Here is a 15783-nt window from a genome sequence, read left to right on the forward strand (position 1 = left end):
ACCTCCCTGCCTCCTTAGCTCACCCTACAACCTACGGACCGCCTGCAGCTGCAGGGAGTGAGAGAAGCTGACGACAAGGGGAGCGTGAGGACGGGGCATCGTAGTAAAAGGACATGAAGGATTTTCTAGATTTCTGCCTAGGACCCAGGGGGGAGTAAGATTAGAGCCATCAAAAGACGTGGGAAGGTGCTCTCCAGGCTTCACATGCCTGCAAGTCCGGCCTTGTTCAGCTTTTAATGAGTTCGTAAAAAGTGATATTCTTTGATGAAATGCAGCTTAGAACCATGGGTTTGTTTGCTAAGGTGGGGCCCTGGAATCTTCTGCAATGTAAATTGCAAAGCAAGAGGCAAGTTGTTATGTATTAAGGTTAGACGTCTGATCAGCCACCTGTGTTCCTTGGCCTCACGTGGCTTTGGGATGGAGGCAGGCAAGCGCAGATAATGATCTGCAAGAGCTGCGCTCCACTGAGGTCCCTCCCGTCAGAGGATGCCTCCCCCTTGGGCATTTCCACTGTCAGGAGGGCGGACGGAGGGAAGCCGCCACCTTTTCCCCTACGCCTTCACGGCTCAGACAGGCAGCACTCCCGCGGAATCCGCCGCCCCAGGTCTCATCTGAGCGCTGTCTTTCACCAGAGCTCTGTAGGACTGAGGCAGTAGCGCTGGCCCGCCTGCGAGAGCCCGACCGTGGACGATGCGTCGCGCCCTTCCCATCGCGGCCTGGGCGGGCCCGCCTGCCCTCGGCTGAGCCCGGTTTCCCTACCCCGGGGCACCTCCCCTCGCCCGCACCCGGCCCCAGTCCCTCCCAGGCTTGCGGGTAGAGCCTGTCTTTGCCCAGAAGGCCGTCTCCAAGCTGGGGGCTTGCTCCGCCCGGAGGGCTCTGCGGGGACCCTGGCACAGCGGCCTGCAGGGAGGCACCCTCTGCCCTGCTGCGAGCCTGGGGCGCCTGGGCCTGGCCTCGAGGTTCCTGGGCCTCCAGGGCAGCCCCAGGGGTCCCCCGAGAAGCGAGAAAAGGGGTTCGAAACCCCCGCCGTGCCCCGCAACCGGCTGCGGCGGGCGACAGCCAGGTGCCTCAGGTCCGTGTGCTGGCTTGGACACCGCCCTGCGTCTGCAGAGAGCGCGGCGGTGAAGCGGGAGCAGGCGGCCTGGCCCAGGAGCCAGGACGGCCACAGCCACGCCACCACCGGCGAGGGCGAGGGCCAGGGCCACTCACTGTGACCCGCGACTCCCTTTTAGAGAGCCACTTTGCGTTTCGTTTTGTTTGCGCACACGGGACACAAGCATATCGAGGCTGAACAAGCCACAGTCCACGTTTCCAGGAGAATTACAAAGCAAACGCTTGGCCTCGCCTGCCGCAGACTCCGCCCGCTTCTAGAGGCCCGCACCCTGACTCCTGCAATTGCGGCTTTCCCGCTTTTCAGACTGGCCGCCCGTGTTCACATTCCTCAGCTGCAGCGTTTGCTGCTGGCCCATTTCTAATCTTCCTGTAAGTGGAATCACTGAGCGCGCGTTCTTTCGTGACTTGTCTCTCACCATCCTGTTTCTCAGATTCACCTGCGTCATGTGTCCATCTCCTTGATGCAGAGATATGAGTTTAGTCATCCACCCTGCGGCCATGAGCCTTTGGCTAGTCTGGGGCTCCTGTGAGCAGGGCAGCCAGGGTCACGCGCACAGGGCCCGGGCCGCGGCTGGGGCCCAGAGCATCCTTCTCCCCGTCACTGCGGCGCCCCGGCCTCCAGAATTGTGTAGAAGAGGTCCCGTCGCGCCTCAGCCTCGCCACGCTTGGTGTCCTCACCCTTGCAAAGTTTCGCTAATCTGGTAGGGTGAAATGGTATCTCACCAGGTTTCCTTCGAGTTCTAAATCACCCTACCACATGTTCACTGACTGCTAAGGAGAGTGAATCAGTCTGTGCAAGTCACTGCAATGCTGAGGAGGGTCGCCTCCTTTCACTCCCAATAGCGAAGCTGTAACGGGTCGGGGCATCACGGGGGCTGGGGGATATCTACCTAAGGCCCACAGAAACTCCCGGAACCGTCAAGAATCCCGTGTGGAACACAGGCATTGTCGCCTCCTCTCCCTGGCAGGAGGTCTGGAGGCAGGAAGGGTGGCTCCCTGCCCTCTCTCCAGGCTGCTGGAAGGCCTGGGCTGTGGCCCCTCGCACCCCCGTGGGCTCTGGAATGCTGTGAAAGGCAGCCAGGCGGCCTGCAGTCGCTCCCTCACCCTTGCTTTCCAGGCCAACATTCCAAACAGCCCCAAGTTTTCATTTTAGTATTCAAACTGGGAAGTATGCAAACATGGAAGCCACCCTATACTTGCAGTGTTATTTGGCTTGGCTCTTTTAGAATCGTATTTAGTATTTTTAGAGCTGATTTTTAAAAAATCATTTTTAGGATTGCAAAATAGAAAAAAGGTGAGCCACTCAAGAGTAGGTCCTTTTTGGTTTGTATCATCTGAGCTAACAGCCCCTAACTAACGCCTGAGAAGGGTTCTCCATGCTGCCCCATGACCTGGGAGGAACCACATTCCCTCCAACTCCCATGTTCTCAGTTCTGCCTGATTTCATCTAGAGGAGGGCTGTGGGTCTTCCATCAGTCACTATTCACCAGTAGAACAAGTTAGAAAGGGAAAAACGTTTTGATACTTTCCCTTCCTCACTGCTTCTTTCTGCCCATTTGAATTTCTGAAATGGATTTCTCAAAGCTTGAGTTTTTACCAAGAAGCTAAATATAGAGAAAGAAAAGGACCACAAGGCATTCAGTTGAGAAGCTCCACAACTAGGATATCATGTCCCCAAGGCAAACGTTTGAGTTTCTCCCTGCTGCACTTGGTGCTGAACTAAAGCTTTTCCATTTAGGATGTTTTGAAGCTCAGGTTGCTTAATTTTGCCACTGAGCTTAATTCCACCCAAAGCCTTGTGACATCTGTGGCCTAATATTATCATAACAATGACAAATAATCATTTGTCATTGATAAATAATCGCAGCAGCATGACAGGCAGAAACAAGTGCTTGTGTTGAAACAGGGAACTGACAAGCGATTCCTTATAATAGGTGACGGGCAACACAGCTGTGCGGAGATGGGAACCCTACCTGAGTCCAGCCCTTCTGTGGTTCTGTTAACATTGATCAGTTTAGCAATCAGTACTTACTCCATTTTAAGGTAAAATTCTCAAGTCACACATACAAAGAAAAGATTATTTAAAAATCATACAAAGCAATGAATACTACAATCACTGTTAGTTCAAAACATGGTTTCGCGTCCTGAAAATCATTGGGCAAAGAGATCCCAGACAGTGTTAAGGAACCCCTTTTATTGAAAAACTCCTTGCTTCTGCTTCCTTAGTTAAAACCTGAGATTTTTCCACAGTGGAGTAACACATGCATAGCTGGGGCACATATTTTGCACCTGATTTGGTAGGAGAAAATGCCCAGGCTGAGAGGAGCCACAAGACATCCGTGAAGTAGGAGAAAATGCAAGATAGTTAATAACGTACCCAACTGCTATGAAACAAATGTTAAGTCGAATGAAAGGTTTAGGGATGTATCACTCAGGGTTCTACCAGACAAAGCCAGTAAGATTCACACACATACACACATACATCAAGAGATTTATTTCAAGGAATTGGCTCATGTGACTGTGGGCCTGGCAAGTCAGAAAGCCATGGACAGGCCATCAGGAGGGCAGGCCGGCAACTCCAGGCAGGAACTACCCCACAGTCTGCAGGTGGAATTTCTCCTTCCTCAGGGAGATCTCAGTTCTGCTTGCAAGGCCTTTCAATGGACTGGATTTAGCCCACCCAGACTATGGAGAATAATCTCATTTACTTAAAGTCAACTATGTACCAAATACCTTCCCAGCAACATCTAGACTGAGTTTGACTGAGTGACTGGACGCTCTAGCCTGGCCGAGCTGACCCTCTCAGGGGACAGATACCCTCAGGGATCTTGGATCAAGCACTTCTGTTTGTTTGTGGGGTGGGGATGGGGAGAAGAGGAAGCAAGACACATCTAACAATTAACAATAGCAAAGGGTTAACAGATGCTGTGGTACTTACTCTGGTCCTTCGGACAGTCCCAGAAGAAGAGGAAGGCAGGAGAGAAACTTGTGTGGTGGAGGCACACGATATTTGATGGATAAATCCTCCTCCGTGACTATCTCCTCTACTGATCACCAGCTACACCGAACCATCTTTCCTTCTCTATAATCATCCCATTCCTAGATTTAATTTTCTGATTCATGTATTTTTTGCATGGCCTCATTTTCATTTGCTTTTCTCATTTTTCTTCATACCATTCTTCCTCATCCACTTCTTTTTTACTAATTCCCAGCTTTTGATCTTCTATTTTGTTTTGCTCTACTTTTCCCCCAAACTTGGTCCTGAATTTTCACATTTTTCTTGTGCAAACACTACAATAACTTTACTACTACTATCACCAGCAGGAACACAGACTTGCTACCCAGGAATTTGGATGAGGTTCTATTCAAGTTCTTCCACTCCTCAGCTAGAGTTTGGGCATAAGTCCACTGTCAACTGAGAAACAGGAGAAAAATTAAGAGTCAGGAGTCACAAAAGGTTTTATCTTAGGTGAGTGTCAAATAAAGAAACGCAACAGCGAGAAGTAGAGTACTCTGCCACCTTCAGCCCTACGAGGGCGACATGAAGAAAGCACTGGGCTTGTGTGGATCACCCCAGGGCAGCGGCCAAGAAGAAAGGATTACACCAGCACGTCCATCTCAATCTCTAGTGAAAGAAAGGATGGAACAAAGTTAAATCTCGGTGATTTTCTCATCTCCAGAGATGTTCAAGGACAGACCCAGACAAGAACAGTCACTTGCACAGAAGTAACTCGAGCATGAGCTAGGGTACTAGACTATCCCTCTGAGAAACATCCAGCCCTAGGGTCCTTGCAAATGCTACAGGGAGTAACAGAGTTAGAGATTAAGTTTATTATTATTATTATTATTTTGAAATGGAGTTTTGCTCTTGTTGTCCAGGCTGGAGTGCAATGGCAGGATCTCGGCTCACTGCAACCTCTGCCTCCCAGGTTCAAGCGATTCTCCTGCTTCGGCCTCCAAATAGCTGGGATTACAGGCATGCGTCACCACGCCCAGCTAATTTTGTATTTTTAGTAGAGACACAGTTTCTCCATGTTGGTCAGGCTGGTCTCAAACTCCTGACCTCAAGTGATCCACCCGCCTCAGCCTCCCAAAGTGCTGGGATTACAGGTGTGAGCCACCACATCTGGATAATTTTGTATTTTTAGTAGCGATGGGGTTTCTCCATGTTGGTCAGACTGGTCTCAAACTCCTGACCTCAAGTGATCCACCCAGAGTGCTGAGATTACAGGTGTGAGCCACCACATCCGGCCTAGATTAAGTTTATATTGAGAACTACCACAATGATTCATGAGTCTCTCATGAGAAACTAGTTGGAATTATGAGTTTGTTCCCTCCACTTATACATACTGTACCCACATGTTTTCGTTTTCTATACTCTTCACCACATGTTGCTTCCCCCACATGCAACAGGAAACTGGCTCCACGGCAAGGGTGAAAAAGATCTGACCCAGTGGTTCCCACCCACGCCACCTTCCAGGGAGAAGGTGAGGCCAAGATGAGACTTTAATAAGTCGAAAATAAAAGACTGCTAAGTGCTGCCCCACAATTACTCACAGGCTTGTGGTCAGGTTTGTGAGCTGCTTGGCCTGTTGCCGGCACTTACAAGCTTTCTTGGAAGCAAGACACAGACATTCCTGCGGAATGACTTGAGCAAATTTTGCTAACGCTACAAGGGTTGATTGAACACCACCACATTGAACTGATGCAAGAGGACACTGAATCACACCCATAAAACACCCGTCCTGTCAAGAGTCTTCCAAGAGGACGCGCAGGAGTCAGCGCTCCGGGGAAAGAAGATGAGAAACACCAGGTGGACCACCCTGGCCAGGCTGCTGGGAACAAGCCTACGTGCACAGCTGCCGGAGGAGAGGCGGGTCTCCCCTCTGGGAGGCATCTCAGCTACATCTATCAAGTTATAAAAATGTTACTCTCCCGCAGGCTGAGCCCACTCCCAGAATTATTCCAGAAAAGACTCCAGAAGAAGAAACCATATGTGCATAGAGGCTCACTGAGGCCTGACCTTAAAACATCCCGCAGTAAGGGAAAGATTGGATTTAAAAGAAAAAAAAAAAAGACCAGCTAAATGAAATATCATAAAGCCATTAAGAATGAATAAAAACTTGAGTAGCATGTTCATAATAGAGACTAGACAGGAACAAAGGAAAATGAAAGCAATTGACTTAGGGTAGAGCAAACACAGGTGGAGTTTTTCCCTTTGACTTTTCTTTAAAATAGAGGTTGTGTGTGTGTGTGTGTGTGTGTGTGTGTGTGTGTGTGTGTGTGTGTGTTTTGAGACAGAGTCTCACTCTGTCGCCCAGGCTGGAGTGCAGTGGCGTGATCGCAACTCACTGCGACCTCCGCCTCCTGGGTTCAAGCGATTCTCCTGCCTCAGCCTCCCAAATAGCTGGGACTACAGGCCCGCCACCACGCCTGGCTAATTTTTTGTATTTTTAGTAGAAACAGGATTTCATTGTGTTAGCCAGGATGGTCTCGATCTCCTGACCTCATGATCCGTCCGCCTTGGCCTCCCAAAATCCTGGGATTACAGGCGTGAGCCACTGCGCCCAGCCTAAAATAGAGCTTTTAAATAGAAACAAACAAACAAAAAAAAAAATGGAAAGGAAAGAGAGGAAAGACTTTGCCCTAATAAAAGGGACATTCCAGAGTACTTCAGGCCCCAGTGCTAATTCCCTGGTGCACTTTTTCTTAGAACACTGTGTGTATAATGATGCTTTTAGGGGGAAAAACAACAGTATTATAGAGTTTGAAAGAAAGGGAAAGCCTCGACTTTTACAACAAATACAACAGCAAAAAGAATCCATCATTGTGTATGAATGTGAATACATTCACTTCCATTCTATGAGGGTAGTGATACTTTAATTGAGGGGTCCTCTGGGAATACAGTTTACTACAATAAGTTTTGAACCAAAGAGTGTAAGCCCTGACTCCAAAAACAGCCATGGAGCACAAGCCCCATATCTGCCTACTCCCCACATCTTTACCCAGAGATGCTTCCTGCCTTGATGGCCCATAGGGCTCCAGTGGCCTCTCACCTGGCTTCTACCTGCAGCTGATGGAAGGCACAAAGGCTGGCTCCCACAAGGGAAGAGGGATGCAGTGTCATTTGTCACCTCCCACCTCTCTTCTCTTTGCCTTTTCTCTTGGGGGCTCCTTACCCCCATCCTCTACTTCTGGGGACCCTTACCCCTGGCCTGTTAACTTCCCAACTTCAAACTGAGGGAGCTGAAATCCATCATTTATATTCACTGCTCAAGCACCTATTGGTAATGATTGCTAGAAGGTGTTATAGTAACAGCATTTTCATTTATTTATTTATTTATTTATTTATTTTTAGAGTTAGAATACTAACATAGAAGCTTTGCAGCATTTTGGGGATTTTTAATGAGTATGTGGTTGATGTTATTTATTTGCTTATTAATGGGGATACAGGTATCTCTAAATTCATAAATCAGCAGTATCTCTCTTTTCAATAGGGTTTTGTTGCTCACCAATATGACTACTCAGAAAATGGCCACCCACAAAATAATAAATAATGGTATAAAAATAGTCTACTTCTTATGGAAAATTGCTGCTAGAAAAAAAATCCTAATTAAGGCCAGGCGCGGTGGCTCACACCTGTAATCCTAGCACTTTGGGAGGCCAAGGCAGGCCGATCATTTGAGGTCAGGAGTTCAAGACCAGCTTGGCCAACATGGAGAAACCCCATCTCTACTAAAAATACAAAAAATTAGCCAGGCATGGTGGCATGCGCCTGTAGTCCCACCCACTTGGGAGGCTGAGGCAGGAGAAGCCTTTGAACCTGGGAGATGGAGATTGCCATGAGCCGAGATCACGCCATTGCACTCCAACCTGGGCCACAGAGTGAAATTCCATTTCCAAAAAAAAAAAAAAAAGTCCTAATTAACTAATGATTCCAACACAGCAAATAAAAGTTTGCAGATAGAATTCCAGTTGCTGTGGCAGTTGACATTATCCCTGCGAACATCTGCACTACTCTAGAGAGAAATCATTACAAGGTACAAACGTGCTCCCTTGCACCTCCAGCCAGGCTGGGGTCGCCCAGCAAGTGTAAGCAAACCTGTGGGAAAGCTGAGCTGGACTTGGCTCTGCACACGGGTGGCATGCAGCTTCTGACTCTAACATAGAGGAGGAGAAAGCTTTACAAATATGCTTAGATGCCATTTCTCTGCCAAAGCCACCAGCCTTTCTGGAAAAGTCTTGCACTCCTGCTCTCCTTTTGGAAGAGCCCCACATTCCAACAGTTTGTCATGTGCATCCTAACCCATCTCGAGTGGTATCTACAGTCTTTCCAAACAAAGGGCCACGCTACTCTGTGAAAAATGCCACTGGAAGTTTGATAGGGATTGCACTGAATCTGTAGATCACCTTGGGCAGTATGGACATTTTAACAATATTAATCATTCCAATCCATGAACACAGAATGTCCTTCCATTTATTTGTGTCTTCTTCAGTTTTTTCATCAGTGTAATTATAGTTGTCAGTGTACAGATATTTCACTTTCTTGATTAAATGTATTTCTAAGCATTTTGGGGGCAGCTATTGTAAATGGAATTGTTTTCTTGATTTCTTTTTCACGTAGTTCCTTGTTAGTGTATAGAAATGCTACCGACCTTTGTATGTTGACTTTGTATCCTGCAACTTTACTGAATTTATTTATCAGTTCCAACAGAATTTTAGGGTTTTCTATATATGAGATCATGTTGCCAGCAAACAGTGACAATTTAACTTCATTTCCAATTTGAATACCTTTTATTTCTTTCTCTTGCCTAATTGCTATGGCTAGGACTTCCATACTACGTTGGATAGAAGTGGTGAGAGTAGGCACCCTTGTCTTGTTCCTAATCTTAGAAGAAAAGCCTTCAACTTTTCACCATTGAGTATATTTGCTGTGGGTGTGTCACGTATGACCTTTATCGTGTTGAGGAACACTTCTTCTATATCTAATTTGAAGAGAGTTTTATTATAAAATGATGCTGAATGTTGTCGTGTGCTTTTTCTGCATCTGTTGAGATGATCATATGGTTGTCCTGTATTCTGTTAACATGACATATCACATTTATAGATTTGCCTATGGTAAAGTATCTCTGCACCCTGTGATGAATTCCCCTTGATTATGTTATTAAATATAGGATCATTTTAATGTGCTATTGAATCCAGTTTGCTAGTGTTTTGTTGAGGAAGGCCAGACTCTACTCTCTATTTGACTGGAGGCTCTCTCGGTGGACACTGAGTACTCACTGATTCATGGGTGTGGGGGTGTGGGTTCTTTTTTTTTTTTTTTTTTGAGACAGAGTCTTGCTCTGTCACCCAGGCTGGAGTGCAGTGGTGTGATCTTGGCTCACTGCAACCTCTGTCTCCCAGGTTCAAGTGATTCTCCTGCCTCAGCCTCCCAAGTAGCTGGGACTACAGGTGCACAGCACCACACCTGGCTAATTTCTGTATTTTTAATAGAGACGGGGTTTCACCTTGTTGGCCAGACTGGTCTCGAACTCCTGACCTCGTGATTCCCCTGCCTTGGATTCCGAAAGTGCTGGGATTACAGGTGTGAGCCACCACGCCCGGCCGGGAATGGGCTCTGATATAGTTCTAGGGCTCCTCAAAATAATCTTTCAGTACTTCCCTGTAGATGAAAAATATCACCTCTCTCATTGCTTCTGGCAGAAGATCATTCTTACAGAGCTCTCTGCATTTGAAGCCAACAAAAACACAGGTCTCAATTAACCAGGAGGCTGGTCCTAGCAACGTGGGTGATGTATCCGCTCTAACGACCCTGCAGTCCCAACAGAGGTGCTGCTGAGTGGCTGGACTGAGAAGCAGCATGTGGACTCTGTTGGAAAGGAGCTGAGGAAGAGGACAGGCACAGTGGAGCTAGGATGGTCTTCAGCAAACCTCCCAGGGACTAGGAGCTGGAATAGTCAGAGCCAAGAGAGCTCTCCAGTACCCTCTGGTAAGGCACTTACTCCCACAGACACACTGACCACCCAGACTTCAGAAGGCGCAGAAGACAGAGGCCAGCTGAGCGAAGGGACAATGGCCCAGGCCATGTGAGAGAGGAAAGAAAGGCACAGCATCCTGGGGTGCCCGAGGGATCAGCTCTAAGCGGCACCTGGGGCTTTGGACAGATGCTGTCAGAGGAGACAGAGACTGAACCGGTCACAGAAGAAGCCTGGTAGGAGAAGCAGGGGAAAGATTCCCCCAACCCCCTGCAGAGCCCGCACAGGCCTAGCCCAGGGCAAAGCCGGCAGAGGGAGAACACATCCTTTCTGGGGTGATGTGAGCCTCAGAGCAACAGGAAGAAAAGGCAGCGCTGAGATACACGGAGCTCTGGAAGCCCCATCAGCGATTCACTCAGATGCTTCAAATGTTGTGTCTTAAAAAAAAATCCTAAACTCTTAGGGTTCAGTTTTCAAGTAGGTAAGATGTAGAACCCCTCCAGCTGAGGCATGGTGCGGAGGCCAGACTTGGCTGTTTCCTGGCTCCCCCAACTTCCCTACACACTGGGCCCATCGCTCTATGTGACTTCGTGCCAAGACCACACAGATGTTGCCAATGTCTGCGCTGTGCTATTTTACTCAAGCCTCAACATTTTCCCCCGGACACATTCCAGGTGCACCACAGTCTGAAGCAAACCACAGCAATTCACTTCCAACGCCGTCCTTCCCCAGAAAAGCTGCCAGCAGGACCCCGTCTCCTGTTGGCGGTGGCTCCGCACAGGCTTCCTCTTGTCAAGCTCTGCTGCTTCCAGCCACAAGACTGCTGTTCCTGTCCTTGACCTCAAAGCCTGTGAAACGATGATGGAGCCCAGTTCTGCTCCTCCTTGGAGTGCCCGCTTTGTGCTGATTCTCTTCCAGAGTCGACATCTGAATAACCGTCAGTGAGCCTGCCTTGCTCTGTTATAGGGTCTCAGGGCACCTGCTCACGTTGACAATGATATTAGTGAAACGGCAGAGCCTCACCGGACTGCCAGAAAAGGACAGGCCACGCAGGCAGCTTGCTGAGATGGCTTCCTGCTCAGAAAATGAAATATGTGAGATGGCACCTTCCTGGGTATTCATGCAGAGGTGGAGAACTAGACCCATATGAATGTTGGTTGATAAGAGGAGAGAAGAAATCAAAGGACCATTCACCTCCAAGTGAACATAGCACATGTGAGAGAAATGTAAGCGGTAGTTACAGCAGCAAATTTAAACATTTTAGGCCATCTTCCCCCTAGAACATGTTCATGCCCTTGGCTCCCCTTTGTGTAACCTCCCAGTCTGCCAAGGAGCTTCTAATTTACATTCTAATTTCAGCATAACAGTTCATAATGCAGTGGATTATGCGCAAACCTGGCTGACAGCATGAGATCAGGCCCCAGTACACAGAGGCCCCACTGTACAGTCGGCAGGCAGGATACACCCAAGCACAGGCATTCAGCTACAATCAGCTATACGGGAGTGCTGTTTCTGGGTGTCCCTCCTGAGGGACCTGCTTCTGCCCACACAGGCTCATGACTCCTAAAGGGAAAACCTCCTAAAAGGAAAACCTCATCACAATTTGCATCCCTGCTCAGGAAATCAAATGGCTGGAGGCGGGTGGCTGAGGCTAAGCATGCAAGCAGGATGACAAGGGAGATCCCCTGGGGCGTCACTCTCCAGCAGGCCCAAGCGGGGCAGGTCTGGCTGGGTGAGCTTTTGATTTGCAAGAGCGATTCTCATCCTCTGTGCAGTTACAACCTATTGTTCATTCATTCTAATATGTTTGTTTTTAATTAAAAGTGAACTGTCTATCTTTATTTAAAAAAAAAAAAAAAGAGGGTCTCACTATGTTACCCAGGCTGGTCTTGGACTCCTGGGCTCAAGCAATCCCCCTGCCTCAGCTTCCTCGGTAGCTGGGACTGTAGACGTGTGCCACCTGCCCAGCTACTTTTTTAAAATCAATTTTTACATCTTTTGGTATAACCAGAGGTATTCAGTGTCTTAAAACTAGGACTGTGAATCACAGCTATAGTGACCACATGAGAATCTCCAACTAAGCAGAAGCTGGTTAGAGCTGCATGTGTATCTATTGTGAGCTTGCGGTCAGAGAGAAGGAGTCAGAAACAAGAGACACACATAGAGACACACAGAGACACATACAGAGCCAGGGACGTGGTATGTGCATACAAATGATATTCAACAGAAACCTTTGAATAAGTTTGCCACAAAAAAGCCTCATCTGTCAATTTTACTACATGATCTTTGAGATACACTTCATTAACTAAAACAATGTCTCCTAACAGTTGGCAGACATGTCTGAAGTAAAGCTCAACGATGAAGTTCTGGAATCTCAGGGCCCCATCCAGATGCCCCAGACCACACCCACCCTGACAAATCAAGAGACCAAGAACTCAATCTCTGCGGCCCAGGCCCTAAGGACAGCAGTCCAGCACAGGGATGACATCATTCCGAAGGACAGGCAGAACCCAAGGTCAGCAATTTCCGAAGCTCATCACCACCAACTCACACCAGCAGGCTGAGAACCTGCCGAGGGTTGCAGATTCATTCCCAGGCACCTCCACATACCCTGCCCTCATGGGAAAGAATTTACAGGCAACAAACTTAGCTACTGTCCAGCCAAAAGTCTATTGTCACAACACAATGTCCTTCATTATGCTAATGCCTTAAAAATGTAGACTTGAAATGACATCCCAGCCAATAAGATCACGTGACCCAGGGAGCACGCCTCCGGCAGGGGAAGTAAGTGTCAGTAGATTGTGGCCAGACATGTCCATCTGGCATTTCCAAGACCACAGGGCTGCTTCATCCCAAAACTGAAGCCAACTGGAAGAGAAACAAAACGGAGTGAACATCTGTGAGATGGCACAATAGACCTGGCTCCTTCACTCCCTTGGCTATCCGGGTGTCCATTCTACCCCACGAAGGTCTAAGGGCTTACAGAGCTGCAAGGGAACAGAGAGAGAATGGGTGATGACAGGGGAGCGTCTCATAGCCCAGGATGCCACAAAGACAAGAAAAGAAAATGCTTGTCATTCCCAGTGCTTTCTCTTTCTGACCTAGAAATGGCACTGGCAGCGTGGCTCCCCTCCACAAACCCCCACAGTGAGGGAGCCTCCCTGCCACCCCCGCCCCTTTCTTAGAATGTCTCTTTAATGCTCGGCTGCAGGTGTAAAAATATGGTCCCAGAGTGAGTGAGTGAGACTGAAAACGGGAAAATAAAAGGAAAAAAAAATCAATGAGACAAAAAGTTGCTCCTCAAAAAAAAAAAAATCAATAAAATTGATAAACCTCTAGCAAGAGAACAAAGACAGAAAGAGAACACCAATCACCAATTTCAGGAAGGAAACCAGGGATATCACTACAGACCCTGCAGCCATTGAAAGAATAAAAAGGAGGACTACCGAGAACTTTATGCTCTTAAGTTCAACGACTTAGAAGAAATGGACCAATTTCTCAGAAACGACGAACCATCAAAACTCAATCAAGATGAAACAGACAATCCAAATGGTTCCATAACCATTAAAGAAATTAAATTCATCGTTAGAAAGCTCCCAGAAAGGAACCCCACCCTGGCCCGGATGGTTTCACTGGAAAATTCTACCAAATATCTAAAAATGAATTAACAAAAAGTACACACAATCTCTTCCAGAAAATAGGAGGAAGAACTTCCCAATTCATTGTATGCAGCTAGAACAGGCTGAGTATCCCTAATCTGAAAATCTGAACCCCAAAGTGCTCCAAAATCTGAAACTTTTCTAGCGCCAACATGACACTCAAAGGAAATGGTCACTGGAGCGTTCCAGATCTCAGATTTTCGGATTAGGGATGCTAAAACAGTAAGTATATAATATTCCAAAATCTGCAAACATCCAAAATCTGAAATATTTCTGGTCCCAAGCATTGGGCTTCTCCACCTGTACGTCCTTGATACCAAAATCAAATAAAGATAATACAAAAAAAGAAATCCACAGACAAATATGTCCTATGAATTTAGATGCAAAAAAAAATTCACAACAAAGCATAACCAGGTTGAATCCAGCAATCCCAAGTAGGATTATTCCGAGTATGTGAGGCTGGTTGAACATGCAAAAGTCAATCCATGGGATCCCTTGTTATCACCACTTAGTGAGTGGCAACGCAGCTGACATCAGCAGCAAGACACTGTCACGGGTGGAAATGCAAGCCGTCCTTCCATCCTGCTCTAGCTCCTACCTCAAATTGGAGGTCAGACCCCTGGAAATTCATACTTTCATATGATTTGTGCAGAGCTGCCTCACCTGCAGATGGCAGGGGTGGCAGGGAACGGCATTCCTCCCTGACCTGCTGACCCAGTACCCACACGCCTGGACACAGGCACACAGCTCATTTCCAGCAGGCTCCCTCAGCGCCCTGAACCAAGTCACCTGGCACCTCTCCTACCCTGGTAGGAGCATCCAGCTCTAATCCATTAACATGCCAAGCCAAGGGTCAAACAGAAAAGGCTGTCAAACTTCAACTTGCTTTATGAGCCCAGAGGATCCTGAAACAGAAGCGCCCACACCAGTGAGTCCTAGAGGAGCAGTGAGTCCTAGTTGCCCCCCGACCAATGCTCATTCCATTCACTACAGTCAAGGCTCAGGAGCCAGGCACTCCGGCCACACATGGAACCCACACCAGGCCTCACTGAGGAGAAGCTCTGCAAGGCCTTTGGAGCTTTTCAACTTAAAACATGCACAAGCCTACTTAGCCTCTTCTGTAAAACTTCCCCAATTCTGCTCCTTTTCTATTAAAAGTTGCTCTTGAAAGTTTTGAGGCAAACTTGGAAAACACCAAATCTAAGCTCAACTATTGAAAGACTCCAAAATGCAAATTCAAGTTCATCTGGCTTGGAAGTTGTGAGTCAAAGGGGTGTCATTGCACCCTGTGTTCAACTGTGGTTTGGAGCAACTATACGGATTTGCAAGACGGGGAGGTGAGGCCCTGGAGAGGTTTGTTCACTTTTGCTGACTTGCAGTATCTGGCATGGAAACCGGCCACAGCAGCATAGATTTTCCTGCAATAAAATCAAGAATCCTTAAACCAACCCACCAGAACAGTGTCAGGTACACCACTGTCTGCTAGGTGGGAGGCACACTGTAGCCAGCACAATCACGGTAGGCAAGATTTCTCTAGGGCCACACTGAGACGAGGCACGGTTCTGCCGCGCAGCCCCAGAGTCTTATGGAATACAGGGCATCCAAGTGGATGCTCAGGTGTGCATGTCAGCGGCTACTTCACGAACAAGGTCATGACCAGTGTGCCAGTGCTCCAGTTCCAGCAGGCTCCCCTAGCGCCCTGAACCAAGTCACCTGGCCCCTCTCTTACCCTGAAAGCATCCTGGCTCTACCCAATTAACATGCCAAGCAAGGGTCAAACTTCAACCTGCTACTGGAATGCTGGCACGCTGGTTGTGACCTTGCTCCTGAAGTAGCTGGCCAACGGAGGTGCTGCCACTGAGCGGTGATGGTCAAGGTCAGCACCACGACAAGCCCCCTCCTCCTCCCCGAACTCCTCCATGCTCCCTCTCTGCCAGCCCTGCCCCATAACTAAAGCCCCTCATACCCTGGAAGTCATCGCTGTGGGGCTCGGGGTGCCTGGTAGTGCCATTCCCACCCCACCCCTGCCAGGA

At 48.1% G+C, this 15783-nt stretch overlaps 1 protein-coding gene across 3 annotated transcripts in view, besides 7 other annotated features; it reads right to left on the reverse strand.

The window, feature by feature from the left end:
- Nucleotides 1-15783, reverse strand: part of CRYL1 (crystallin lambda 1) — a 122189-nt gene that overhangs the window by 10678 nt on the left and 95728 nt on the right. The window contains exon 6 of one of the 3 annotated variants that reach the window (XM_005266416.6): nucleotides 12289-12959. The exons of the other annotated variants lie outside the window; for them this stretch is intronic. Coding sequence (XP_005266473.1) covers nucleotides 12939-12959 — 21 coding nt within the window. The 3' untranslated portion in view covers nucleotides 12289-12938. Of the gene's footprint in view, nucleotides 1-12288; nucleotides 12960-15783 lie in introns of those variants that run through there. 3 annotated transcript variants of the gene reach the window in all.
- Nucleotides 932-1513: an enhancer, noted in NCBI's record as "H3K27ac-H3K4me1 hESC enhancer chr13:20989417-20989998 (GRCh37/hg19 assembly coordinates)". NCBI's record gives its function as "activates a minimal SCP1, AML or CMV promoter by ChIP-STARR-seq in naive H9 embryonic stem cells {active_cell/tissue: H9 hESC(naive)}" and the evidence as "EXISTENCE:reporter gene assay evidence [ECO:0000049][PMID:30033119]".
- Nucleotides 1514-2095: an enhancer, noted in NCBI's record as "H3K27ac-H3K4me1 hESC enhancer chr13:20989999-20990580 (GRCh37/hg19 assembly coordinates)". NCBI's record gives its function as "activates a minimal SCP1, AML or CMV promoter by ChIP-STARR-seq in naive H9 embryonic stem cells {active_cell/tissue: H9 hESC(naive)}" and the evidence as "EXISTENCE:reporter gene assay evidence [ECO:0000049][PMID:30033119]".
- Nucleotides 4681-5880: an enhancer, noted in NCBI's record as "CDK7 strongly-dependent group 2 enhancer chr13:20993166-20994365 (GRCh37/hg19 assembly coordinates)". NCBI's record gives its function as "activates an origin of replication core promoter dependent on BRD2, BRD4, P300/CBP, MED14 and CDK7 cofactors, with strong dependence on CDK7, by STARR-seq in HCT116 cells {active_cell/tissue: HCT116}" and the evidence as "EXISTENCE:reporter gene assay evidence [ECO:0000049][PMID:35650434]".
- Nucleotides 10808-10857: an enhancer, noted in NCBI's record as "active region_7418". NCBI's record gives its function as "activates an Ori minimal core promoter by ATAC-STARR-seq in GM12878 lymphoblastoid cells {active_cell/tissue: GM12878}" and the evidence as "EXISTENCE:reporter gene assay evidence [ECO:0000049][PMID:35858748]".
- Nucleotides 10868-11107: an enhancer, noted in NCBI's record as "active region_7419". NCBI's record gives its function as "activates an Ori minimal core promoter by ATAC-STARR-seq in GM12878 lymphoblastoid cells {active_cell/tissue: GM12878}" and the evidence as "EXISTENCE:reporter gene assay evidence [ECO:0000049][PMID:35858748]".
- Nucleotides 11540-11599: an enhancer, noted in NCBI's record as "active region_7420". NCBI's record gives its function as "activates an Ori minimal core promoter by ATAC-STARR-seq in GM12878 lymphoblastoid cells {active_cell/tissue: GM12878}" and the evidence as "EXISTENCE:reporter gene assay evidence [ECO:0000049][PMID:35858748]".
- Nucleotides 11660-11719: an enhancer, noted in NCBI's record as "active region_7421". NCBI's record gives its function as "activates an Ori minimal core promoter by ATAC-STARR-seq in GM12878 lymphoblastoid cells {active_cell/tissue: GM12878}" and the evidence as "EXISTENCE:reporter gene assay evidence [ECO:0000049][PMID:35858748]".

The sequence above is a fragment of the Homo sapiens genome, chromosome 13 (genome assembly GCF_000001405.40).
Source record: "Homo sapiens chromosome 13, GRCh38.p14 Primary Assembly".
Lineage (NCBI taxonomy): Eukaryota > Metazoa > Chordata > Mammalia > Primates > Hominidae > Homo > Homo sapiens.